A 25797-nucleotide genomic window follows, 5' to 3' on the forward strand; every position below is an offset into this window, starting at 1 on the left:
TGCTCGTCCAGAACCTCACAATGTCACCTTATTTGCAAATAGGGTCTCTGCAGATGTAAATAGTTAAGGTGGTGGTAGATTAGGGTAGACACTAAATCCATTGACTGTTGTTCTCGTAAGAAGGCCAGGTGAAGACACAGAGACACACAGGAGGAAGGCCACGAGATACTGGAGGCAGAGATTGGAACGATGCATCTACAAACCGAGGAATGCCAAGATTTGCCAGGAGCCACCAGGAACTAGGAGTGAAAGATGAGGAACAGATTCTTTCTCAGAGCTTCCAGAAGGAACCAGCCCCATCAATGCCTTGATTCCAGACTTTTGTCCTCCAGTAGCAATTCTGAGAATAGATTCCTGTTCTGAGTTACCCAGCTTGTGGTACTTTGCTGGGGCAACCCTAGGAAATGAATAAACTCATTGTACTTCTGAGGTGTCTTTGTTCTCTTTTTAATACCAGGTATATACTGCTGCTCATTCTAAATTTCCTCTTGTCCAACCCAAGTTTAAGAGCCGTAAGTGGCCTATTCTAAGTTTTCTTCCCATCCAAGGCTCTATAAGAGGCCATTGCCCCAAACCAAGGGTTTGGAATAGTCAAAGATCCTGCCCAGATGTGATGCCCAGGTGTTCTCAGCCGTGGGTTTGGGGATGATAGATCTCTAAAACTCTCGAACATCTAGACTTTAAAATTGTCATCCCCTGTGCTGGCTTCCAACCACAGGTTCTGTGCTGCTTCCAGCTCCCTTCTCTGCTGTTGGAGATTATTTGGGGACTGACTGCGAGGCAAGTGAATGAAATAGATGGCAGAAAAGACAAAGGCCAAAAAATCCGCTGCACCTACTGGCTTCCCAGATGGTGTCCAAGGGATGAAATAGCTTGAGCCCTGGGCCACACCATATTTCTGTCCTGACTGTAGCTGTTTTGCTAAGGAGCCCGTACTAGCCTTGGAGGAACAGCTTTCGATGCTGCAAGGAAAGCACAGAGTGGGGATAGCTGATGGGAGTTGTTTCAGTGGTTTAGGCTGACTTGGTGATTCTAGGTATGCCTTAGGCCAGTGGCTGCTGCTTCTTCTGTACATGAATGTCATGAATGTCTGAGTAGGGAGTGAGAGGTTCATGTAAACCTTTTATGTTGTAGGCCCAGCTGTGTGGCCATGGGAGGGTGCTTGGCATGATTAGGATGGAAAACTTTTTTGCCTACACTGATCATGCCAGAGCGATTTAATATTTCAATAAGAATTTAAGGGATAGACTCATCTTGGAGTCGTCGTCTTGGCCTGTTTTCTCACCAGTGTTTTGGGTGTTTGTCCAAGAGAACTTAAGAGTTCTTAACTGAGTATTTTGGGCCTGTGGGGGTCAGGAGAACAGCATGTTTTACCTCTACTGAAGGTAGGAGCTACCTTGGCATTTGGGGTGAAGAGATGTGTGGGGTTTCTTAGTGTAGGGGATGGTCGTGGAGCCTGGGAGACCTAGATGGCTCAGTTCTTCTAATTTGTTGAGCCTTGGTGCATCCCTCTCTTGGGGTGATGATAATGGTGCCACCTCAGAGGGCTGTTGAAGATGTGAGATGCATATAGAACACAGCATCTGGCTCGCTGTGAGCTCTCTGGAGAGGTTAGCCATTGAGATGGTTTGGCTGTGTCCCCACCCAAATCTCATCTTGAACTGTAGTTCCCATAATCCCCATGTGGAAGGGACCTGGTGGGAGGTAGTTGAATCATGGGGGTAGTTACCTCCATGCTGTTCTCGTGATAGTGAGTTCTCATGAGATTTGATGGTTCTATAAGGGGCCTTTCCCACCCTTTGCTCTGCACTTCTCCTTGCTGCCAGCATGTGAAGAAGGACATGTTTGCTTCTCCTTCCATCATGATTGTAAGTTTCCTGAGGCCTCCTCAGCCCTGCGGAACTGTGAGTCAATTAAACCTCTTCTTTTATAAATGACCCAGTCTTAGGTATGTCTTTTTTAGCAGCATGAGAACGGACTACTACAGCCATGATCACTAGCTGAGTGTGCTGCTGGGGTCACCTGCTGTACTCCTGCAGACCTCAATCTTTACAGAGTAGAAAAATGAAGCCTGATATCCTCATGGGCTCTTTTTGTATATCAGAATCTCCGTCATCTCCCACCCACCAAATTGGTTTGGAGCAAGCAACCTGACATAAGGAGTATGACCTTCACAAAGTCATGTTGTGTAAGTAGCAGTTTCCCAAACTAGGCAGTGTAAGTGAGAGCTCTAAACCACTTAGTGGATGAGGGTATACTGATTTTAATTTTTAAAAGTTGAGTTATTATTGGAACATGAAAGAAAGCCTATTTCGCAGAATCAGCCAGTGAGGCATTCCTTCTTTTGTCAGGATCTTGTAGTTGCTATGTCAATTAATCTGCTTTCTATTTAGGCCATTGAAATAAAGTTATATCTAAAACCTTGAAGTAAGGTACAAAAAGTCTACAGCTTCCTGGAACACAGCCTAGACGCTGGAGTTAAACAAAAATGGACACAGGGGTCTTAAGACCCCCCAGTAGAATATGCAACACTGCTAGGGTGCCTTGAAGATCCTTTCAGGTTTGTCTTCTTTTTTATCTCTTTATTTTCCTTTTTTTTTTTGAGACGGGGTTTCTATTCTGTCGCCCAGGCTGGAGTGTAGTGGTGCACTCTCAGCTCACTACAACCTCCACTTCCTGGGCTCAAGCAATCCTCTTGCTTCAGCCTCCCAAGTAGCTGAGACTACAGGCATGCACCACCACGCCCAGCTAATTTTTGTATTTTTAGTAGAGGTGGGGTTTCACCATGTTGGCCAGGTTGGTCTCAAACTCCTGAGCTCAGGTGGTCCGCCCACCTCAGCCTCCTAAACTGCTGGGATTACAGGCGTGAGCCACCGTGCCCTGCCCCTTTCAGAATCTTCTGAGAATTGTCTTACTGTAATATTCCTTACACATTTGGTTACCGACCTTCCCAGTACGTCATTGGAGAAAGCAAAGGCAAAAGGGGGAAGGAGAGAAGTAACATTTGTTAAATGCTAACTGTGTGCCAACCACTTGACATGGTGCATGTTATCCCCATTTTACAGATGGGAACGTAGAGGCTGAGGGAGGTAAAGTAACTTGATTAAGTTTACCCTGCTATGAAGTAATGGAGTTGGGATTTGAACCACTAAGGAACACACTCAGGTATTGTTAAGTAAAAAAAAAAGGGATAATGATTGAGCACACTGGCTTACGCCTGTAATCCTAACACTTTGGGAGATTGAGGTGGGTGGATTGCTTCAGCCCAGGAGTTCAAGTCCAGCCTGGGCCATCTGGCAAATCCCTGTCTCAAAAAAAAAAAAAAAAATACAAAAATTAGCTGGAGGTGGTGGTACACACCTGTAGTCCCAGCTACTCAGGAGGCTGAGGCAGGAGGATCAATTGAGCCTGGGAAGTTGAGGCTGCACGGAGCCATGATCATGTTATTGCACTCCAGCCTGGATGACGGAACTACGATAACAACAACAAAACAAAACACATGATGAATACGCACTGAAAGATCAAATTAGATTCTCTACCTCCGTTGAAGAAGGTAAAAAAGTATATAGTAGAATCCCTCAGAAATATGAATGGTTAGAATTATTTTTAAAGTTTTGTAAATGTGGGGCAAATTTCTATTTTCTGGAAAATTCTTCTGGTGGAACACCTTGCTCTCTAAAAGTGCCAGATAAATGAGATTCCGCTTGATTTGAGAGCTAAGTTCTATGTCCAGTTCTTCCTTGCTGTTATTAAGCAGCAAAGAGAGACCCATGGTTGCACACTGGGAGGCTTTTCTCTTTATCGTTACTGTGTTTATAGACCCGACTCCATCGGGGGTGCTTTTAAGTAAGTAATTATTTTGGGGCATTGTTGCTCTTTTTCGTTCAGTGCGTAAGTATCACTCTCTACTGCTTTCTGATCTTTTTACTTTTATTTTTATTTTTATTTTTTAGTACTTCCAAGTGAGAAGGGATGTGGCCTCCCAGCTGGTGTTTGTCAGGGTTACATGGTACATGTGCAGGAAGGGCCACATCAGCAGGCCTTGAGTAATCCATCCGCAGTCTCGAAGGATGAATCATTCATGAAAGCAGTTTTCCATCCCGCTCACTGGATGCAAGCCTTTCTTGCAAAGTTGATTTCTTTTGCAAAATTAACCTTTGCTTTCTGCTCCTTGCCCACACAGCTTTTGAAATAGGAAGCCCACAGAGTTGTGTTGTTTTTTTCTAAGTAAGTCTAACGGACTGGGCATTTGTAACTTCAATTATTACGCAAGGTATTGAATTCCGCCTATGAAATCTATGAAGGTCATTGCCCGTGGACTTAGAAGTGCCTAGCAGAGTTGAATGGTATGTGGGCTGTGTGTGTATGATCCATATGGCTGAAGTCGTGGTTCTTACTATTACTATATGATTATGTATATTTTAAAAATAGCTCCTTCAGATTTTAACTAGTTTTAAAACTCAAAGTATGTGAAAGGGTTTGCATTTGATAGAGGGGGGAAAAGGCATACTTAATATCCAGGGTTGATAAGCGAAGGCGTGCCACCTCCTGTAAGTCCACCCCTTTCATCCTTTACCCCCATTTCTCACACTACTTTTTTGGTGTTTTGTGCGTTTTTATTTTTTCCGAATTGCAGCAGTGCAGACAGGGAGAAGAACTAAAATCACTCTATAGCTGGCCTCTGCTGCTCATTACGTTTTAGTGGGATAAAACCTTGTCTTGCCCTCCTAGTTGGAGAACCAGCTGAATTGCACCTTTGAATGTTGCTGGGTTTTGTGCCAACCTGCCAGCTGATGGGGCAGACCAGCAGCTTAGTGTCTCCTTTGCTGTGGAAGCAGAACTGCGTCCCCATTATTTGACAGGCAGGAAACGGTAAGGCTAGCAAAGCGGGGACTGAAGACTTCAGGTGTCCCAGCTCCTACCCCAGAGGTTGGTCGCAGACACAGGTTTATAAAACATCAGTATGTGGAGCCACCTTCTCTGAGGTTGTCTTGTTGTGTCTGTTTCTTCCTTAGAAAAGCACATCCCAGATGGGCATGATGGCTCACGCCTGTAATCCCAGCACTTTGGGAGGTTGAGGCGGGTGGATCATTTGAGCCCAGGAGTTGGAGACCAGCCTGGGCGACAAGGCAAAACCCCATCTCTACAAAAAATACAAAGATTAGCCGGGTGTGATAGTACACGCCTGTAGTTCCAGCTACTCAGGGGAATGAGGCAGGAGAATTGCTTGAGCCCAGGAATTCGAGGCTGCGGTACGCTATGTTCACGTCACTGCACTCCAGGCTGGGTGAAAAAATGAGACCCCATCTCAAAAAAAAAAAAAAAAAAGAAAAGAAAATCACATCCCAATCCTAATACTTTTAAAAGTTCATGTGCCAAATTTAATATTCAAGTTGCTAACATGTTATCTGTATGTAAAAAAACCTGTTCTTCTAACCAGACTTCTTCCAGACTTGTTTTGATCAGTCTCAACCAGCATATGTCATTGGCACATTTAAGCACAGGTATGTAATTTTTAGCAATAGTGAGATGTTCTATAGTGGAGTGCCCGTGTCACCTGAGTTGTGGTGAACAGTTTCAAATATCCTTCATTTTCCAGTATTCAAAAATGAGGAAATGACCTCAGATTTCAGTGCTATGATAATTCCCCTAGTTATCTCCTAATTCTGTGCTTATTTTGTGTTGCAGCAAGTGAAGCTCAGAGAGCTCGCGTGCTAGGTAGGCACTAAGTGGTAAAAATGATGTAACATTTTCTGGGGAAATGTATCCAAAGATCAATTTGTAATAGAAAAACAGTATTCACTGGGCACTTAGGTTTATATTATGATAGCAGATACTTGAGAACCTTCTTGGCATAGAGGCATTCTGTGGGTTTCATGGTGGCCCATGAGTTAATTGGCAGCTGGAGTGTGAAGTAATTGAAATAATTGACCCCTGAGATAATGGGTGTATAGGCACTGGGGTTCCTAACTATCGAGGAGGAGACTGGGGTTCCTAACTACCGAGGAGGAGACTGGGGTTCCTAACTACCGAGGAGGAGACTGGGGTTCCTAACTACCGAGCATGCTTCTATGGGATGTCATTGAGGTGTTTCCTGTTTCCGTGAACAGTGTCTAGTTTTTTCTTTTTTGACCCTCTATTTTCATCACTTCTAAGATGAGACCTTGGTTGTGGGCAGAGGGTGTGTGATATATTCTTTTAAACGTCGGGTCTGCTTCCCTCTGTTTGAACTCAAGTTGGACAGACAAATCCCTTCATGGATGGAAGCTGGCTGGTGCTCTGCGGTTTCTGAGATCAGTGCACAAGGCCAAACCCAGTTTGTCAATAACAGCTTCTTCCTCATTGTTTTATGTTTCTAATGAAACAGCTCCTATTTTGTAGTACACAAAGGGGAAATGTGAGGCTGGAAAGCAACATAGGATTCTTCATTCCAGACAGCAGCCAGTGGGCCCGCTCATGAAAAGTTGATGGTTGTGCTTAATGAGAGAAGAAAAAAGGCATCTAATAGCTAAAGTTTGCCTTAACATAATAATTACTTCCCATGTAGCAGTTCCATTTTTCTAATACTTGAATGTCTTATTGTATAAGAAAGCAAGGTACTTATTTATTTTTACAACCTTACATCTAGTTTCTGTGAACGTTTTCATTGTATAAATTTGTTTCTTTCTCAAAATAGATAAAAGACACCAACCATCTTTTTTAATCTACTGAAGCACATGAATAGTGCTTATGTCCATTTTAGGATACTTTTTTGTAAGCCATGATATAGGTCTTCCCCACCAATGGTGGCAGCTTCTTTAGAGGCAATTTACAAAAACACGAACACCCCTACCTCCCACCTATGGTTTTTGCTTTCTATAAAAATGTTGAATATGTCATAGCTAAGAGGAATGAAATGTCCTCCTGCAGAGAATAAGAATCTCTTATTAAAAGTAGCCCAGAAGTTTACTGTTGGTGCTTAGAAAATAATTGAAGGATGTGGAAGAAGAATTACAAAGACATGCACACACATGCACGTGCACACATGCAAACACACACACACACACACACACACACACACACACACACACATTTATGAGTCACTGACTGGCAATCATAATAAATTATTTCCCCAGAATCAATTGTAAGCCTGCAGACTCCAGAGAGGTTGGCTTACCCGGCCTGGAGCAGTGCTGGGTGGAGTTGTTTACTCTCCTGTGGCAGCCTTAGGGCTCTTGAGGTATATGTGCGCTCTTAGTCCTCTGTTATCTTCTGTCACCGGGAGACAGGCAACATGTGCACCAGAAACTGCTGCCATGCCTGTCGCCCTGTATAATGTGCAGTTTTTGCTGACTTTTCTCTGAAACCGTAAGAAAAGATCTAGTGACTAGCTGAGTCACTTGAACTATGTGAGTTAAGTCACTTGAACTACACGAGTTAACTGAGCAAACTTGCAGCTACCCAGGAATTTGATTTTGTATGGTGAAATTCTTAGCCTTGATTCTGTGTTTTTTTTTTTTTAAATTTTTTTATTTTTTTGAGACGAAGTTTTGCTCTGTCGCCCAAGCTGGAGTGCAGTGGCATGATCTCGGCTCACTGCAACCTCCGCCTCCCAAGCTCAAGCGATTCTCCTGCCTCAGCCTCCCAAGTAGCTGAGATTACAGGCATGTGCCACCATGCCCAGCTAATTTTTTGTATTTTTAGTAGAGATGGGGTTTCACCATGTTAGCCAGGTTGGTCTCGATCTCCTGACCTCATGATCTGCCTGCCTTGGCCTCCCAAAGTGCTGGGATTGCAGGCATGAGCCACTGTGCCCAGCTAGTTTGTTTGTTTTGTTTTTTTAATTTATTTTTTAGAGCAGTTTTAGGTTCCCAGCAAAACTGAGCAGAAGATACAGAGATTTCCCATGTACCTCATTTCTCTGTGCCTGCACAGCATCCCCACTGTCATCATCCCTCACCAGAGTGGTCCATTCATTGCAGTTGATTAAGCTGCATTGACATTATTATCACCCAAAGTCCACAGTTTATGGAAGAGTTCATTCTTGGTGTATCTTCTGTGAGTTGTGACAAATGTATCATCATATACAGCTACTATTCTAGTATCATGCAAGGTATATTTTCACTGCCCTAAAGATCTTCTATGCTCCACCAATAGAAGATCCCTTTTTCTTCCAACCCTTAGCATCCATTGATCCTTCTATTGTCTCCATGGTTTTGCCTTTTTCAGGATGTCATGTATTTGGAATCCTGCAGCATGTAACCTTTTCAGATTGGCTTCTTACACTTAGCAATATGCATTTATGTTTTTTCTATGTCTTTTCGTGGCTGGATGGCTCATTTCTGTTTAGTGCTAAATAAGATTCTATCATCTGGATGCACCGCAGTTTATCCATTCACCTACTGAAGGGCGTCTGGGTTGCTTTCAAGTTTGGGGCAATTATGAAGAAGGCTGCCATAAACATCCGTGTGCAGGTTTTCATACATTTTAAACTCATTTGGGTAAATATATGACCCACTGCAATTGTGGGGTAAAATGGAAAGAATATGTTTAGTTTTTTAAGAAACTGCCAAACTGTCTTCCAAAGTGGCTGTACCATTTTGCTTGCCCTCCAGCAATGAATGAGAGATCTCATTGGTCCACATCCTTGTCAGCGTTTGGTGTTGTCAGTGTTTTGGATTTTGGCCATTCTAATAGGTGTGTAGTGGTATCTCATTGCTTTAATTTGCAGATCCCTAATGACATATTATATTGAGCATCTTTTCACATGCATATTTGCCATCTGTACATCTTCTTTGGTGAGATATCTGGTCTTGTGCCCATTTTTAATTGGGCTGTTTGTTTTCCTATTGCTGAATTTTAAGAGTTATTTGTATATTTTGTATAATACTTCTTTATCAGATTTATTTTTTGCAATATTTTCTCCCAGCCTATAATATCTTCTGATTCTTTTGACAGTGTCTTTTGCAGAGCAGAAGTTTTTAATTATAATGAAATCCAGCTTACCAATTATTTTTTCATGGATTGCTCCTTTGGCCTTTGGTATTGTATCTAAAACGTTATTGCCAAACCCAAGGTCATCTAGATCTTTCTCCTTTGTTATTTTGTAGAGTTTTACAATTTTGTGTTTTGGTTTTTTTAATTAAATACAAAGGGATTGGTGGTTTTTGTTTCTTGGTAGAAACATAGTTTGTTTCTTTACCAGTGACATAAGCAATAACTTAAGTAAATAAATGAATGACTAGGAAACTCTTTGACTAGGCCAACCCCCATAGCCTTAATAACCACAACTTAACATTTGCAGAATAGGAAGGACTAATCCTTTAATTTATCTTTTATGTCTATCCAGAACTTTAGTCCTATGAGCTGTTTTGTAAACGAGATTTGTTTTGTGGGAAAGGGAATTTTGTTTCAAGACTTCCCTAAGAAACTGATAGCATCGGGTAATTCTTAAATTTGACTTATCATAATGGTATATCTGGAAGGAATTTGTCAACTGATATGTTATAATTATTTTTTAATTTTTTTTAATTTTTGAGATAGGTCTTACTCTCTTGCCCAGACTGGAGTGCAGTGGTGTGATCATGGTTCACAGCAGCCTCAAACTCCTGGGCTCAAGAGATCCTCCCACCTCAGTCTCCTGAGTAGCTGGGACTAAAGGCATGTGCCACCATGCCTGGCTAGTTAATTTTTTTTTTTTTTTAAGTAGAGATGAAGTCTTGCTGTGTTGTCCAAGCTGGTCTCACACTCCTGAGCTTGAGCAGTCCTCCCACCTTGGCCCCTCAAAAGTGTTGAGATTACAGAGGGGAGCCACTGTGCCTGGCCTGATATGTTTTAATTCTAACAGTAGATCTGCATAGAGAGAAAAGTTGGTATTATGAACAAAGGTAGCTTTAATTCGAAGAGACAACCATCCCCATTCCACAACCTCTTTCCACCCAAGCAAGGAAATTTATTGAGGCCAGTAACATTTTAAATGCTTTTTGGAGTTGTTTATTTGCATGTACTTTCTTTCTTATTGTGTAAGATTTGACTTTTTTTTTTAAAGGAGTTTCTTCACATGGATAACTCAGTTTGTATAGCCTAATGTAATCTCAGCAATAAGTCAAAAGCTGTTCTTCTGTAGGGCTATATAGTTCTCTGACATAGGAAATCATTCTTAGTTCCATTATATTGAGAAGAAACAGAGAAGCATTTTACATCCAAGTGCACCAGCAGCTGTTTTGTTACATAGCTGCTGTGTGCAGAGCCCAATACTGAGAATTTTAAGAAGTCACTGAAATATGTCGAAGCACGAGGATGGGTCTGGATCTCCTCACTCTAGACGCCTGTACCTTTTTTCTGTAGTCGGTGAATGAAATTTTGGAACATGAACTGCACGTGTGGAAAGAATTTGTGTGTGGGTGGAGGAAGCATCTAATGGGAACTGAGCTGGGGGAAGTAGAGCTTGGTCCCAGGTGTCCCAGCTGGAAGAGTTTGAAGCCAGACCCAGGGAGCCCTGCGTTTGAGGCCACCTGCACTGCTCACAAGCCACGGGCCTTGGGAAGCCCTTTCTGGGAACTTGCTTGTGGAGCTGAGATGGGGGTCAGAATTATTCTGCAAAGTGGTTCCCACTGAGCAACAAGTGACTTTCTCTTCCTCCACGTTTTCTTCTCCTTACCTCAAAATGGAAGAAACTTCTTGGCAAAATACCATTTAACATAATTTGGCCACACTGAACATTTAAAAATAATCAAAGATGGAGTCTGTGCTGTTAAGAATTGATAAGTATTCCACATAAAATCTAAACATCGTTCTTTTCTTTATTAAATTTTTGGTGTAATGCACAAAAACTTGAAACTTCAGCTTTTAATAAAATTGACTTTATTTCTAAAGAGAAGTGGGAATAACAGTGGTGCTAAGATTAGCAGTAAAAGCCTTTAACCTGCGAATTCCTTCACGCTGGGGTCAAAGAAGGGAAGTCCACGTGGATGTTTGACTTGTGACCTCTTCCTTCATTTAAAAAAAAAAAAGACTTAAATTACTCATGCCCTCAGTTTAAATTTGTGACTGGCATTTGAAACTATGGAATGATTCACTTTTCCTTGTAGCAAGAAAATTTGAAAATGAAAGCAAAATGATGCTCATATTCAAACTGAACCTACTATGAAAAGATGTTTGCTGATGGCTTCGTTGCCCTGCAAACACACACGACAGAGATGGCTGTTGTTCAACACATTATTTTCCTCTTCCTCTGAGCATCTTAGAGAGGGATGACTGTGCATGTTGCCTCATGCGCAGGAGGTGGTGTGCAAAGATCTTTTGGTTTGTATCGTGGCTTACAGGCTCTCATTTAGGCCATGGCATGGTACATTCCAATACCATGAGTGGTTAAATCTCAGGAATTCCAAAGTGTATGAACGGAGTGATGTCAGCTGTACTCTCATTTCATGCTATGTAGCCAGATGTCGTGTAGCTAACCTCAGCAGTTACTATACATAATGTGCTATAACTGGCTGATTTAAGGTAAACTGCCTCAGTTTCCTCATCTGTAAATGATGGCTTTTGACTAAATAATAGCTTAGTTTTCATTGTGAACAAAATGCTTGTTTAGCTGGGCAAACACATTTTTTTTTGCAGAAAAACAGCCCTATCACCAATAGTACCTGCTCTAGTGCTTTTAAAAATTAGAATGAAATTTTGTTTGTACATTTTTGTTTGTTTTTGACAGTCTCACTGTGTCACCCAGGCTGGAGTGCAGTGGCACCATCTTGGCTCACCACAGCCTCAAACTCCTGGGCTCAAGCGATCCTCCTGCTTCAACCTCCTGAGTAGCTGGGACCACAGGTGCATGCTAGTATGCCTAGCTAATTTTTTAATTTTTTGTGGAGATGGGGTCTCACTATGTTGCTCAGGCTTGTCTTGAACTTCTGGGCTCAAGCGATCCCCACGCCTTGGCCTTCCAAAGTGCTAGGATTACAGGTATGAGCCACTGCGTCTGGCCTTGGTTGTACTTAAAAAACAAAAACAAAAAATTAAAAAAAAAAACAACAGAAAACTTTTCATGGCTCCCAGGAGCATTTATATGACTAACAAGTTATCTTTCCTTGCTGATAGTTCCACTTTCCTCGTGTTTGACAGAAATGACTCTTAGTTTAGGAACTCCTCATTAGCTGTTTCCAGGAGCAGTGGGGTATCATTTTGATGCTTCTTTATTTCTTCTATGCAACTAAAATACAAAGTGAAGATACGATGTCTCTGAAATGATAAAGCTACATTTGTCAAAAAGCACATATTTTCCATTCGACATTTTGGCTTAAAGAAATGAAAACTACAGAATGACTTTTTCCTTTATCTGGGTCTGTGCTGTGTATTTACCTATTTAAAAAGATATACAGGTGAAAAATATTTTTTGAAATGAACTTGTCTGAATCAAGATGCACACTCTTGCAGCAACATCACAGGGTGTCTCTGTCACTGAGGACTCTGTCCTCATTTGTGTGGGCTGACTGGGTCGCTGGCTGTGGGAGGCACACATTTGCTATCTTGGTGCAGCAGTTTGTAGTCAGCTGACTGACTTGTTCCTGCACATGCATTTTTTTTCCTGGCAAGTCATAATTCATGTTTTTCCTAAGGTCCAACCCTATTATAACTGACAGATCCTATCTGGCTGAGAAACATGGGCACCCTTCTGTTTTTGCCTCTTGTTCCCAACATATTTGTATGCTTTTCAATAGGAAGCTGACCTGGAGTAAATGCCCAGGGTTGTCTGAGGTCTCTAAATGGAAGGTGTGGTCTGAAACCAGCTAACTATGGCAGCATTAGGGCAAGAGCGCACAGGTAAAGGACTTCTGAAGGAGGGTGGAGGGTGGGAAAGTGGGAGGGGCGAGAGCTAACATGAATGAAACTGAAGAGAAACAGAAGTTGTGGCTGGCATGCAGGAGAAACCCAGATTCCCATTCACCACTTCCTCTCACCTCCAGAAATTACCCATCATTCCTCTCTATTTTGCAATCCTCTCTATTTCCCCTGAAGGTTCTGCTTTGAATGCTGTCTTCCCAGCAGAAATGTTGAAGGGAAGTAGCTCAGCCCAGTTCCCTTCTGGGCCACCACTTTCAACTGTAGACTTTCTAGTCAGAGCCAAGAAGGCCATGGACTCTGAGAATGGCATTTAAAGTCTCTGCCGGGCTCCACTTAGTTCCCCTTCCCCTACAGATGCCTTATTCCCTCGAAATGCAAACGAGGCTCCATGGCCACAGTTTCCTTCCTCTTTCTGTCCACATTCCAGTCGTTCACCATCTCGAGAACACTGGGGCACCCTCCTCTACCCCCAGCCAGAGCTGTCATTTAGTTGTGATCCACAAATCTGCTAAAGAGAAAGGTGCCCTGCTATCATTTTGCAAAGGCTTGCTTGGAACACATTCCTGCCATTCTTTTTTGCTGCTCTGTAGCCTGAGTGATTATTTGTTTAGTGTAGGAGTAAATATGAGGGGTGCTGTGTTTCTTAAAAACAAAACAAAACAAAACTTTTAGTGACATATGCTCATTGGGGGAAATAAGATAGAAATAAATAATATTGAAAACAAACACCCGTCAATCACGTGACAACCACAATATAGCACTTTGGTGAAAATGGTCTTAATTTAAAAAAGAAAGTCCATCTTTCTAGGTATCTGAGCAATTCATTACTATTCTATGTAATTTTTGTGGGTTTATAATTAATTTTGTAGATTGGGATTTACTAGCATGTGATACCTTGTAAAGGACATTTTACATTAAATTATCTTCCTCCCTAGCACATTGCCTAATTCTGTCACTTGTATTATTGAGGAAACATTTGCAAGTAGGACAAAAAGCTGTCTGCAAATACTTAAGCTTTGAGTTGTTTTTTTCTGAAGTGCGAACACAATCAATTGGGTTAAGTCTCCCAGCCCCTAAGTGGGGGTATTTATGTTTTTTTTAGGAGAGAAACTTTGGAAGTAAATCAGAAGTACCCAGGGCCAATGGCCAGAGTCTTAGAGGAAACATAAACCTCTAGGATCCAGTGAGTATCCACAAACTTAGAGCACTGCGAAGGAAACAGTTGGGTTAGCGTTTTATTAGGAAGGTCAGAGATGATTTAGAAAGTTAACCCTTCCAAGGGGTAATTACCCCCAATATGTGTCCGTTGTGGCATGCTGTGTACATTCACTACTTTTTTTTTTAGTGGGAAAATAACAACATGACTTGGCTGCATGTCCCAGGAAGAGGCCACAGAAATGAAACCTCAGGGTCACATGAAGGAGATTCCCCTGACATATTTCAGAGCTGATGCTTAATGGACCTGAACCAGTTTGCTTTTTTTTTTTTTTTTTTTTTTAAAAGACAGAGTTTTGCTCTTTGGCCCAGGCTGGAGTCAAGTGGCACAATCTCGGTTCACTGTAACCTCTGCCACCCCCCCTCCCCAACCCCCACCCCCGCCAACCTGGTTCAAGCGATTCTCCTGCCTCAGCCTCTCACGTAGCTGGGATTACAGGCACCCCCCGCCACCATGCCCGTCTATTTTTGTATTTTTAGTAGAAACGGGGTTTCACCATGTTGGCCAGGCTGGTCTCGAACTCCTGACCTCAGGTGATCCACCCGCCTCGGCCTCCCAAAGTGCTGGGATTACAGGCTTGAGTCACCGCGCCCGGCCCCAGTTTGCATTTTTTACAGGGCAGAGACTGAAGGGCACTTAGAGCTACCTGGCCCGGCCTGGCTTTAGGGACCTGATCTGTGCAGATATGGTAATTCCCCACGTGTCAATGCAGTTCAGACTTAAAGGGCACAGTCAGCCCTTCGTTTCAATACCAAGAATTGCCCTTTTGAAAGGGTCTTGAAGGACTTGACATTCTAGGATTTAATTATTAGGGGGACGAGCAGAGGCAATGAGATGCAACTCTGAAACAAATGTTTAACCACTTGAGTCAAAGAGGAAACAGAGTGAATTAAAACTTGAAAAGTGATCTTCAAATCGGCTTCCGCCCTTGTAGGCTGATTAGACGACAACTAGCATCTCCAACTAAGAGTGTGTATAATTAGAAAGCCCTCTAGGTTATATCTCAAGTGAGAAAAGAAATATGCCCTTTTCTTAGCCTTTCCTTATTTTTGGCCTGTATTTGGGAACTTTTTTTTTTTTTTAGTTTAGTTTTTTTTTTAATTGTACTTCTACAAAGTGCTCTGCAAGTTGCATGAGAATACATACAAGAGCTTTAGCTTCATTTAGGACATATTCTCTCATTCCTGAAACTTCAGATTAATTTAGCATTTGATGACCTAATATTGCATTTCCTCAATTTTGTTCTATAAGTAGCATTCATCAGAGCAAAGTTTATTTTATGTTGGTGGCATTCAGTAAGTGATACATCACAAAGAAAGATTGGATACTCTTGCATATCAAATATACTTTGAACTGTGTTCTCTGGCAATGCCATAGATTTTAACTGCAACTGACAACTTGTACTTCTAAGAGAGCATTTATCATTGTTGGATGTGCGTTGTGTCTGTCTGCTAATTAGCTTGTGAAGTCCCTCAGGTTATTCATCTCATAGAGGCCAGTGTCTGGCACAGAATAGGTAACCACTGAAGGTATCCTGAGTGGAATTGAGTTGCAACAGTGTGTTATAGACAGTATAGTCCACAAGGAAAAGTAGTCATCACTGAGCAGAACTGCATTTTGCAGCCCTCCATGATTTTAGGGGAGAGCAAATGTAAAACACATTTTCAAACAGGTGAGTCTGACTAATTTGGAAAATTGAATGGACTGTTTTCTAATTTTTTTTTTTTTTTTTTGCATCTGGGATATAAAGCAACAGTGAAAGTTACTTTTTAAAAATGGGCTGAAGAGTGAGAAATGAATCTGACTTATCAAATCCGCAGAGGGTTACCTTTATTACTGTGCTGCCCTTCATCCCATGCCTGCCTGCTTTCATGACAAGTTGCAGTGAAGTCGTATTTGGCTGTGAGAAGTGACTTGCCTTCAGGGTCACTGTGAACCATGTGGGTGGGGCCGGGCAAATGCATATTTAAGTACTATAAAATATTTAGAAGCAGAAGATTCAAAATTTGACCAATCAGTTTGATCAAGTTTAATTTCTTTTTGTTTTTAAGGACATGGTTTCGCTGTGTTGCCCGGGCAGGAATGCAGTGGCTCCATCATAGATCACTGCAGCCTGGAACTCCTGGGCTCAAGCAGTCCTTTCCTGCCTCAGCCTTCAGAGTAGCTAGGATTACAGGCTTGCACCACTGCACCTGGCTAATTTTTTAAATTTCTGCAAAGATGAAGTCTTGCTATGTTGCCCAGGAGTGGTCCTCTGGCTTCAGCCTCCCAAAGTGCTGGGATTACAGGCGTGGACCATCACACATAGCCTAAGTTTTACTATAACCAATGAGGCAACCTCCATGGAGACCAAGAAGAGGGAGTGGTACCTTCTAGACATCTTGACCTTTGTCTTCTGGTTCCAGGAGCTGCTATCGCTAGGAAAAGGAAGTCCTGTCTGCTCACAGCCCACCCGCCTCTGCACAGGTGTCCCTGGGTTGGCTCGTTGATGGTAGTGGTGGAAATTGTCTCAGTCATTACTTACAGCCTGTGAATCCTATTAGCATTTCTCCAATTTTCTCTGTTTTTATCAAGGGAACAGAAATCCATCATCAGGTATTTCCACAAAATTGACCTCATAGTTCCTTCCTGGGTTTAATGCTCAGTTGCCAAAATAGAAGTGAAGAGTCAGCAGAGTTGATGTGAAGTCACTTGGAGTGAATATCTTCAAATTAACAAGACGTAACATCCCTTTCCTGCCTTTAGCCCACAAATGCCCACCTCTGCTGAGCCACCTTCTTGCAAAGGAGGCTTTTGGAAAAGATCTTTTGGGATTATGTGAGGATCCCACATATAAAGTAGCAGGAGAATCTCGAGTTCCATGGGAAATGACTATAGGTCATTTTTCCATTTTCAGAGAAATCAGTGCCTTTGAAAGAGACCATAGCTTTTTTTGCCTCCGACCGAACTTGCCTAATTTGTGGAGGTGAATGAGGCAGCCTTTGTTCTCTGCCAGACTTTAGTCAGAGCCCTTAAGCATGGCTTGTTGTCCAGAGCATGGTAGAGAAATTTAGAGCATCATCGTAACTGTAGCACCACCAAAAATAATAACCACAGGAGCTACCATTATGGAGGAATTGCCCCATGCCCTGCAGCCACCTCTCCTCCTCCACTCCCCCACTCCCCCATTCCCCCATTCCTCCTTCTTCTCCTGCTCCAGTATTGCATATTTTTACCTGACTCTGCAGCGGGCTGCCTCCCCCGGTAGCTCACTCCTTTGACCTAGACTTTGGGTCTTTGTAGCTCTGGTGCTTGTACCTGCTCCCTCTGCCCTGGGCCAGGATTCTCAGTCTCTGGGATTGGCCTCAATCTCTGTGTTTCCCCAGTACCTTGCTTACCCCTTCACATGCATGTGGATTGCACGGACTCGCCCTGGCTTGCTCACATGAAACACTCTCCTACCCATCTCTTCCTTTCAGCTGGAGCCGCTGTGCCCATTTCAGACTCTGCCTTCACACCTGGACTCCAGCCCTTCCCTTGTAACAGCCTCCCTTCAGGAAGAGGGTGTCTTGCAGCCTAGACCCTCAGTTACCAGAGTCCCTCAGAACAGCCTTTCCCATTCTACTGTTGTTCAAGTGTGTTGGTAGAGAAAATGAGAGCATCATGATAACTGCGGCACCATCCAAAATGATAACTGCAGTAGCTACTATTAAGGAGTATAGTGTCTAGCAGCTAGTGTTTTGGTAGAAACTCAAGCCAACACCCCTGTAATCCCAGCACTTTGGGAGGCCGAGGTGGGTGAATCACCTGAGGTCAGGAGTTCAAGACCAGCCTGACCAACATGGTGAAACCCCGTCTCTACTAAAAATACAAAATCAGCTGGGCATGGTGGCACATGCCTGTAATCCTAGCTACTCGGGAGGCTGAGGCAGGAGAATCGCTTGAACCAGGAAGGCAGAGGTTGCGGTGAGCCGAGATCACGCCATTGCACTCCAGTCTGGTTCTGGGCAACAAGAGTGAAACTCCATCTCAAAAAAAAACAAAAAAGCTCAAGCCAGACCGTCAGGATTCAAGCTCAGTCTCACACATATGAACTGTGTGACTTTGCAATTTACTACTTCTTGCCACATCACTCTTTCTCATCCTTAATAAATAAAATCATTTATGAAGAAGATTATTAATACCATCAGTATTATGAAGACTATTACTCTTATCGTTGATCCTTATTTTCTCATGGGACCTATCAAGTTCAAGTGACCTAACATTATACAATTTAACCTATTCTTCTGCAGCAACACACCCAGATGGGGAGGAACCCAATAACACCGATGGTGCTATTGACATGCTCAGAACTTTCCAGTGACATTGTCTCTGTTTTCTTGTATATGTGCATGCATGAACAAGAGCTTTAAAAATTGATGGGGACCCTGGGCTGCTGGCTAAGGAGCTCTCCTGCCTGATGCCCAGACAATGTTGTATCTATATACATTTGCTGGGAAGAGGAGTCAGCCTAGCTGGAAGGCTGCTATTGTTATGCAAATTGGAAAAGCACACTTTTAAGCTACACTCTTGCAAAATGGCTGAGGGTGGCAGTGTGCTTAGGGCTCCAGAAGAGTTTAATCATTGTAATGAATCCAATGGAAAAGGACCAAGTTTGCTGCTTCAAGATCCATATTCCACCTTCAGCTGTAAAATGTGCTGCAGATATTGCACTTGCCTGAAATAAAGCGCTCTCTGTCTTTTCTTCTTCTGAAGAATCCTTTGGCTGTGTTTTATTATACCGGAAGCCCATTTCCTCAACTTAAAGTAATTATTAACAACAACTAAAGCTTTTTCTCAATGTGGTTGAATTCGGTAGTTTTAGGATTCAGGATGGATGTAGAAAAAGGTTTGTGTGTTGCGCGTAACCTCGGTCGTGTAGAGTATGTGGATGCTTTCACCAGTATTCACATGGAGCAGTTATGCAGGATCTGCAGCAGCAACAGCTCTGGTGACCACTCAGTCCTCTCTTCTCCATTTCCAGGTAGACCTTACATCTTTCTCTCTGAAAGTGAGCTGAAATCTGATACCCTGTAACCTCCACCCTTTGTTTCTGCAGGATTTCCATCCTTCAGGGACAAACAGAACAAGCTTAATCCTTCTGGCAAATATCAGGTCTTCAGGTATTTGCAGACAGCTAAGTTGCAAGCTGTCTTCCCTTTCAGGTGAATCCCCTACTCCTCTTAGGAAGTGGTTTCCAGTTTCATTCTCTTGTTGGAAAACTTATGCCAGAGAGAGGCTGCAACCACAACAGTGAGGGCTTGGAACCCTGAACCGTGTCTCAGGAGGAGTGAATAAAGATTTGTTGTATGGAACTCTCACCTCCTCCATCCTAGATAATATACCTCTGTTAATGCAGTCTCTTCTCCTAGTAGCTCTTTTGGCAGCCATGGCACCTCATTAATGTGTTTGTTAAAATGCCTCAGTCTTTTCATCTGTGGTGCTGTCGATCTGCATTTCTGTAGTTTTGAAGCTAGGTATGGGGATTTTCGAATGATCCTTATTACTCAGTGGAGTCTTGATCGCTATTAGCTTGGTCCAGTTTTGGATTTTCCTGTTGGTTTCTAATTTAGCCATGCAGGATGTGTACTGTCTTTCCCAGCTTCCCATTTCCCATTTGAGACATTTGCCTTGTGTGAGTTCGGCATCGAGGTATGGAAAATGAAGCCTCATAGCAGCCTGTTACCTCTCCTAAACCAATCCCCCTGTCAGCTCACATTTAATGCGGATACCTTTTATCTTGGGTACTTGTCAGAAGGTCTTCTTGATACCTGTGTCTTACAGATACAGCTAATTGCACATTGTAGGAACTGATTAATGCCCAGGGGACTGAGTGCCATCACACATAATTGTGGAACGAGAGATTTTGATTGCAGTCAATGAAGATTTTCCTCCCTAATTGTGAGGGGTCCTTTTTAAATACTATTATACCTGATTTTCTTCTTATTTTTTAGTTTTTATTTTTTGAGATGGAGTCTTGCTCTGTCGCCCAGGCTGGAACACAGTGGTGCGATCTCTGCTCACTTGCAACCTCTGCCTCCCAGGTTCAAGTGATTCTCATGCTTCAGCCTCCCAAGTAGTTGGGATTACACGTGCCTGCCACCAGGCCTGGCTAATTTTTTTGTATTTTTAGTAGAGGCAGAGTTTTGCTATGTTGGCTAGGCTGGTCTTGAACTCCTGACCTCAAGTGATTCGCCTGCCTCGGCCTCCCACAGTGCTGGGATTACAGGTGTGAGTCACCATGCCCAGCCAATTTTCTTCTACTCTTGGACTGGAAGGGGCTCTGGTTTCTGCTACCTTTTCTACCTTTAGATGTACGTGGTCACACTTTGAGGGCCTTCAGTTGGTGTTGAAGAGGAGATGGCGGGCCCAAGCTCTGCAAGCCTGGTGCTTGGGGGCATGTTGCCTCCCTGCTGCACAGCACTTCCTGCCACTGTCCTGGTCAAGCTGGGTTTCCCGATTTACGGAAGAGCTTGGGCTCAGAGGGAGGCCGTGAGGAGCCCCGAGAGAATGCCAGCCAAGGCCCTGTCTGGTCTAATCCTGCCAGAGCCTGGCCTTTGGGTGGAACTGGGAGGGCCGGGGAAGAAGGTTATGAGAGGCACAAGCTCTGGTTCTCTGCCATTACCTCTCAGCCTAGAAGTGGCCATTGGATTTCTTTGTATGTTTTCTCTTTATAGTAAATAAAGAGGAAACTTCTCCCCTCACTGGCCTGTGTAGGCTACAGTTGCCTGAGGCTCAGGCTTGCCTGTTCTTCTAATCATTGACCTTCTTGTTAGTTGGATTCTCTTTTTCTTCATTTAAAAATACGCCACATTTCCTTTCCCTCAGTCTTGTTGCAAGTTCCCAATAATTTTGGAGTCCTGTTAAAAGACCTGTACTTTTTATAAATTTGCTTTCCCTTCAATCTGGAGAAAGAGAAGAGGAATTACTTGTAGAGTGGGTACTGTGTCTCAGAGCTAGGCTGAAGCTTCACGTACATCATCCTGTCTGTCCTTAACAATCCTGCAAGGCTGGTGATGCTAATTTCCATTTTAGAGTCGGAAACAGTTGAGAATGAGAGCTTCACATACCCAAGGTCATGCAGCTGGAGAATAGGGGTGTGCAGATGAGGACACAGGGCACTGTCCCACCCACCCTACCAGGACGAGGGGCTTCATGCTAAACTCTGGCCCATTAGAAACCACTTGGGAAACATAAATGCCCACGGATACAGCCATTTCAAAGATCCATGCTTAGACCAGAACATTTAGCACAAAGCGAAACCCACAGAAACTTCAAAAGGAATAAAAATATCATGTTAATGTTAAGAAAAATTATTTAAAATTTGGAAATAAGGCATAAACGTAACAGCAGCATGTAGTTCTTCAAATGTTAGCCAGGGGCGTTGCTTAACAAGCCTACCCAAGGGTTATTTGTTTAGGGTGTCATACCTGGCTTTGTTTTTAACTTTTAAAAAATAACAACTTTGTGGCCGAGCGCGGTGGCTCATACCTGTAATCCCAGCACTTTGGGAGACTGAGGCGGGCGGACCACCTGAAGTCAGGAGTTTGAGACAAGCCTGGCCAACACGGTGAAACCCCGTCTCTACTAAAAATACAAAAATTAGCCGAGCGTGGTGGCGGGCACCTGTAGTCCTAGCTACTTGGGAGGCTGAGGCAGGAGAATTGCTTGAACCTGGGAGACGGAGGTTGTGGTGAGCTGAGATTGCACCACTGCACTCCAGCCTGGGCAACAGAGTGAGACTCCGTCTCAAAACAAAAAACAAACACAGCTTTGTAATATAATTCACGTAATGTACAATTCACCCATTTAAAGTGTACACTTCAGGGGTTTCTAGTAATTTCAGAGTTGTGTAACCATCGGCACAGTCCTTTTTAGAACATTCTCATTGCCCCAGAAAGAAACCTGTTAGCAGTTACTCCCCATTCTCTAACTGGGCAGACTTCTTTCGGATGTATTTATTGGTGGACTCTAATTCTTGTTTGACCTAGCTTTACCAACTTAGTTGTTCCCTCTCTAAACCAAAAAGTACCCGAAACGTGTCTCAATCAATTTAGAAGTTTATTTTGCCAAGGTTAAGGACGTGCGCCCAGGAGACAGGTCTGTGCTTTTCGCCAAAGATGATTTTGAGTGCTTCAATGTTTAAAGGGGAAGGAGGAAGAAATTGTAAAAGGTGTTGGTAGATAAGAGGCAGAGAGTTGCATTCTTTTCAGTTTTTCATCAGCTGTTCACATGTGAGAGGGAGTAGAGGAATAGTCACTTGTGCATTCCTCTAGCTCCGTGAATCTGCTTTTTTTGTTTGTTTATTTTATTTTATTTTTTTGAGATGGAGTTTCACTCTTGTTGCCCAGACTGGAGTGCAGTGGCACAATCGCAGCTCACCGCAATCTCCGCCTTCTGGGTTCAAGTGATTCTCCTGCCTCAGCCTCCCGAGTTGCTGAGATTACAGCCATGTGCCACCACACCTGGCTAATTTTGTATTTTTAGTAGAGACGGGGTTTCACCATGTTGGTCAGGCTGGTCTTGAACTCCTGACCTCAGGTGATCCACCCACCTTGGCCTTCTGAAGTGTTGGGATTACAGGCATGGACCACCGCGCCCAGCCCATATTCAACTTATTTTTTAAATGATAATTCATAAAACACTTTAGGATCTTGCATTGCAATAGCATTGTTATGAACATTGCTCTAAAGTTAAGATTTTTAGTTTCTTAAGTAATACATTAATGGTTGAAAAAATTAGAGAATATAGATGAACAAAAATAAAAGTAAAATTAAATTTTCCCAAACACTGCCCTAGAGACAGCCCCGTATCACGTTGGTCTGTGTCCTTATAGACTTTTTCTCTTGCAACAACTTACAGTATTTTTAAAACAGTAAATAGCCCCACATCATGATTATTGTTAAATATAAGTTTTTTGAAGCACTGTGTATAAGTGTAGATTAAAAACCATTTTGGTTTACTGTAAAAACTCTGGAAGACAACCTAGGCAACACCATTGAGGACATAGGCATGGGCAAAGATTTCATGACGAAGACGCCAAAAGCAATTGCGACAAAAGCAAAAATTGACAAATGGCATCTAATTAAACTTAACAGCTTCTTCACAGCAAAAGAAACTATCAACCGAGTAAACAACCTACAGAATGGGAGAAAATTTTTGCAAGCTATGCATTCAGCAAAGATCTAATATCCAACATCTATAAGGAACTTAAATTTACAAGAAAAAAACAACCCCCCAAAAAAGTGGGCAAAGACATGAAAAGACACTTTTCAAAAGAAGATATACATACAACCAACAATCATGAAAAAACACTCAACATCACTGATCATTAGAGAAATGCAAATCAAACAAAATACCATCTCACACCAGTCAGAATAGCTATTACTAAAAAGTCAAAAAATATTAGATGCTGGTGAGGTTGTGGAGAAAAAGGAACACTTTTACACTTATGGTGGAAATGTAAATTAGTTCAACCATTGTGCAAGACAGTATGGCCATTCTTCAAAGAGCTAAAAGCAGAACTGCCATTTGACCCAGCAATCCCATGGCTAGGTATATACCCAAAGGAATATAAATTGTTCTGTTATAAAGACACATGCACACATATGTTCATTGCAACACTATTCACAATAGGAAAGACATGGAATTAACCTAAATTCCCATCAATGATAGACTGGATAAAGAAAATGTGGTACATATACACCATGGAATACTATGCAGCCATAAAAAGGAACGAGATCATGTCCTTTGCAGGGAAATGGATGGAGCTGGAGGCAATTATCCTTACCAAACTAACACAGGAACAGAAAACCAAATACTGCACGTTCTCACTTATAAGTGACAGCTAAACAATGAGAACACATGGACACACAGAGGGGAACAACACACAGTGAGGCCTGTCAGAAGGTGGAGGGTGAGAAGAGGGAGAGGATCAGGAAAAATAACTCAAGGGTACATGGCTTCATATCTGGGTGTTGAAACAATCTGTACAGCAAACCCCCATGACACAAGTTTACCCATATAACCTGCATAGATACCCCTGAACTTAAAAAAAAAAAAAAACATTTTGGTTTTAGAATTCTGAATAACAATTCATCATATTTATTTTTAAATTCATTTTGTCTTATATTTTCTGGCATGCAGTTTGGAAAGGTAATATATTTGTTTTGTAAGATTTTTCTTTAGTTTTTAAAATTTGTGGGTGCTTCTATGCCTTCATATCCTTCTTTGTATGGAGACTTTCCTAGTTCCTTTGTCTCGTGTTTTTCCCCAGTTGCTCTCCACTGTTACCCATGGGCATTAGAATCCCTTGGACGCCTTCAGATTTCCTTTTTGGAGGCTCCTGGCCCCATTCCTTTGTAATTATGTGGTGTTCCACGTCCCTGATGTTTTATTAGTTCCCAACATACTTGATATAAGAGAGGTAATTAGTGTATTATGGCTTCTTTTTGAATTGTTCCCCAAGATAAGCAGAGGGAAATGTTACATGGGTAAAAATTTACATAATAATGTGACCAGGCTTTGTCGCAAAAGCTCACTGTAATCATGAGAAAATGAAAGCATTTTATTTATGGAAAGTTTCCGCATGTATTTGTCTCTAAGAATTAAAAATTGCCACTGCATTATGGTGGCCTCAGATTTCAGAAGAAACATTGTACTGTGTTTACTTGTACCGTGCCCTGCCTTTCTAACCAAACTTGAATACCCTCTTTTCTGTTCTGAGACTGTTCTATGGCCATTCCACCATTGATTGAAACCAAAGCCAAACCAGAACATTAAATATGAAATGCTTTTTCCCTCACCCACAGGAGCTTTGTAATTATATGGCTTAAAAAAAAAAAAGCACTGAATTCTTAAATGAGAGTGTTTAGTAAAATATTTGGAACAGCTTCAGCTTCCTACTTTCCTTCAGTGAACCATGGCTGAAGGTAACGTTTTCTTGGTCAATGTGAATTGCGTTCCTTCCCCCGGTGCTTGATTTTCCTTTGACCTACTCCGTCTCCATAGTTTGCATGAGGTGGCCCAAGCCTCTTTCCATAATTTTACATAGGTGTTACCGCAGAACGCTGCCAGATGGCTGCCTGTCTTGGTGGGGAGAAGTCCCTGGATCTGCTGTCCTTTTTCATTCTCAGCACTAGCGTCATTTCTGCCACAAGTCTTCCCTGAACTCAAGGCTGGGCTGAGGGCTATTCCCCAGGCACTCACACCTTACATTGGCAAGACCTTCCTCCACTTGTATGATCCTGAAATGTTCTCTTAGTGACTCTTTTCCAAACTAAAAGCTCCAGGGGGGCCCCTGAGCGAAGTTGATCTTTACAACCACCAGGGCCCAGCACCATATCTGGGATGTAGCTATTGCTCGATAAATATTTGTTGACCAGAAGGTAAGTGAACCGAGTACTCCCTATCCACTGTGTGTCTACATTCCTGCCAACCCCTGTATATATATGACAACGACTCTTCAGTCCCAGGCCTAATAGACTTGCCCCAGTCAGCTCCTTCCTGATTTCATGTAAGAGTGACACGATTGAATACTTCCTCCTTCCTGAAACGTTTCCCCCTGTTGGATGTCGGGGCTCCTGCTCTCTGCTCGCCTCTCTCCTAGGCCTGTCTCTGAGGTTTGGCCAACTCCTCTTGTCACCCCTCCAGCACTATGAGCAAGGAATTCTGGTTCTCCCCACACCATCTTTTTTGAAATTGCATTCGAGGTCTCCAGCATCTCTTCTAGGCAGATACCTGAA

At 42.6% G+C, this 25797-nt stretch overlaps 1 protein-coding gene across 8 annotated transcripts in view, besides 2 other annotated features; it reads left to right on the forward strand.

The window, feature by feature from the left end:
- Positions 1-25797, forward strand: part of PRKCA (protein kinase C alpha) — a 508131-nt gene that overhangs the window by 153283 nt on the left and 329051 nt on the right. The gene's annotated exons all lie outside the window — the stretch shown is intronic.
- Positions 7156-7450: a silencer, noted in NCBI's record as "tiled region #4299; HepG2 Repressive non-DNase unmatched - State 6:EnhF, and K562 Repressive DNase matched - State 5:Enh". NCBI's record gives its function as "represses a minimal TATA promoter and a strong SV40 promoter by Sharpr-MPRA in HepG2 and K562 cells {active_cell/tissue: HepG2 | K562}" and the evidence as "EXISTENCE:reporter gene assay evidence [ECO:0000049][PMID:27701403]".
- Positions 11116-11410: a silencer, noted in NCBI's record as "tiled region #12581; HepG2 Repressive non-DNase unmatched - State 5:Enh". NCBI's record gives its function as "represses a minimal TATA promoter and a strong SV40 promoter by Sharpr-MPRA in HepG2 cells {active_cell/tissue: HepG2}" and the evidence as "EXISTENCE:reporter gene assay evidence [ECO:0000049][PMID:27701403]".

Source organism: Homo sapiens, chromosome 17 (assembly GCF_000001405.40).
Source record: "Homo sapiens chromosome 17, GRCh38.p14 Primary Assembly".
Taxonomy (NCBI): domain Eukaryota; kingdom Metazoa; phylum Chordata; class Mammalia; order Primates; family Hominidae; genus Homo; species Homo sapiens.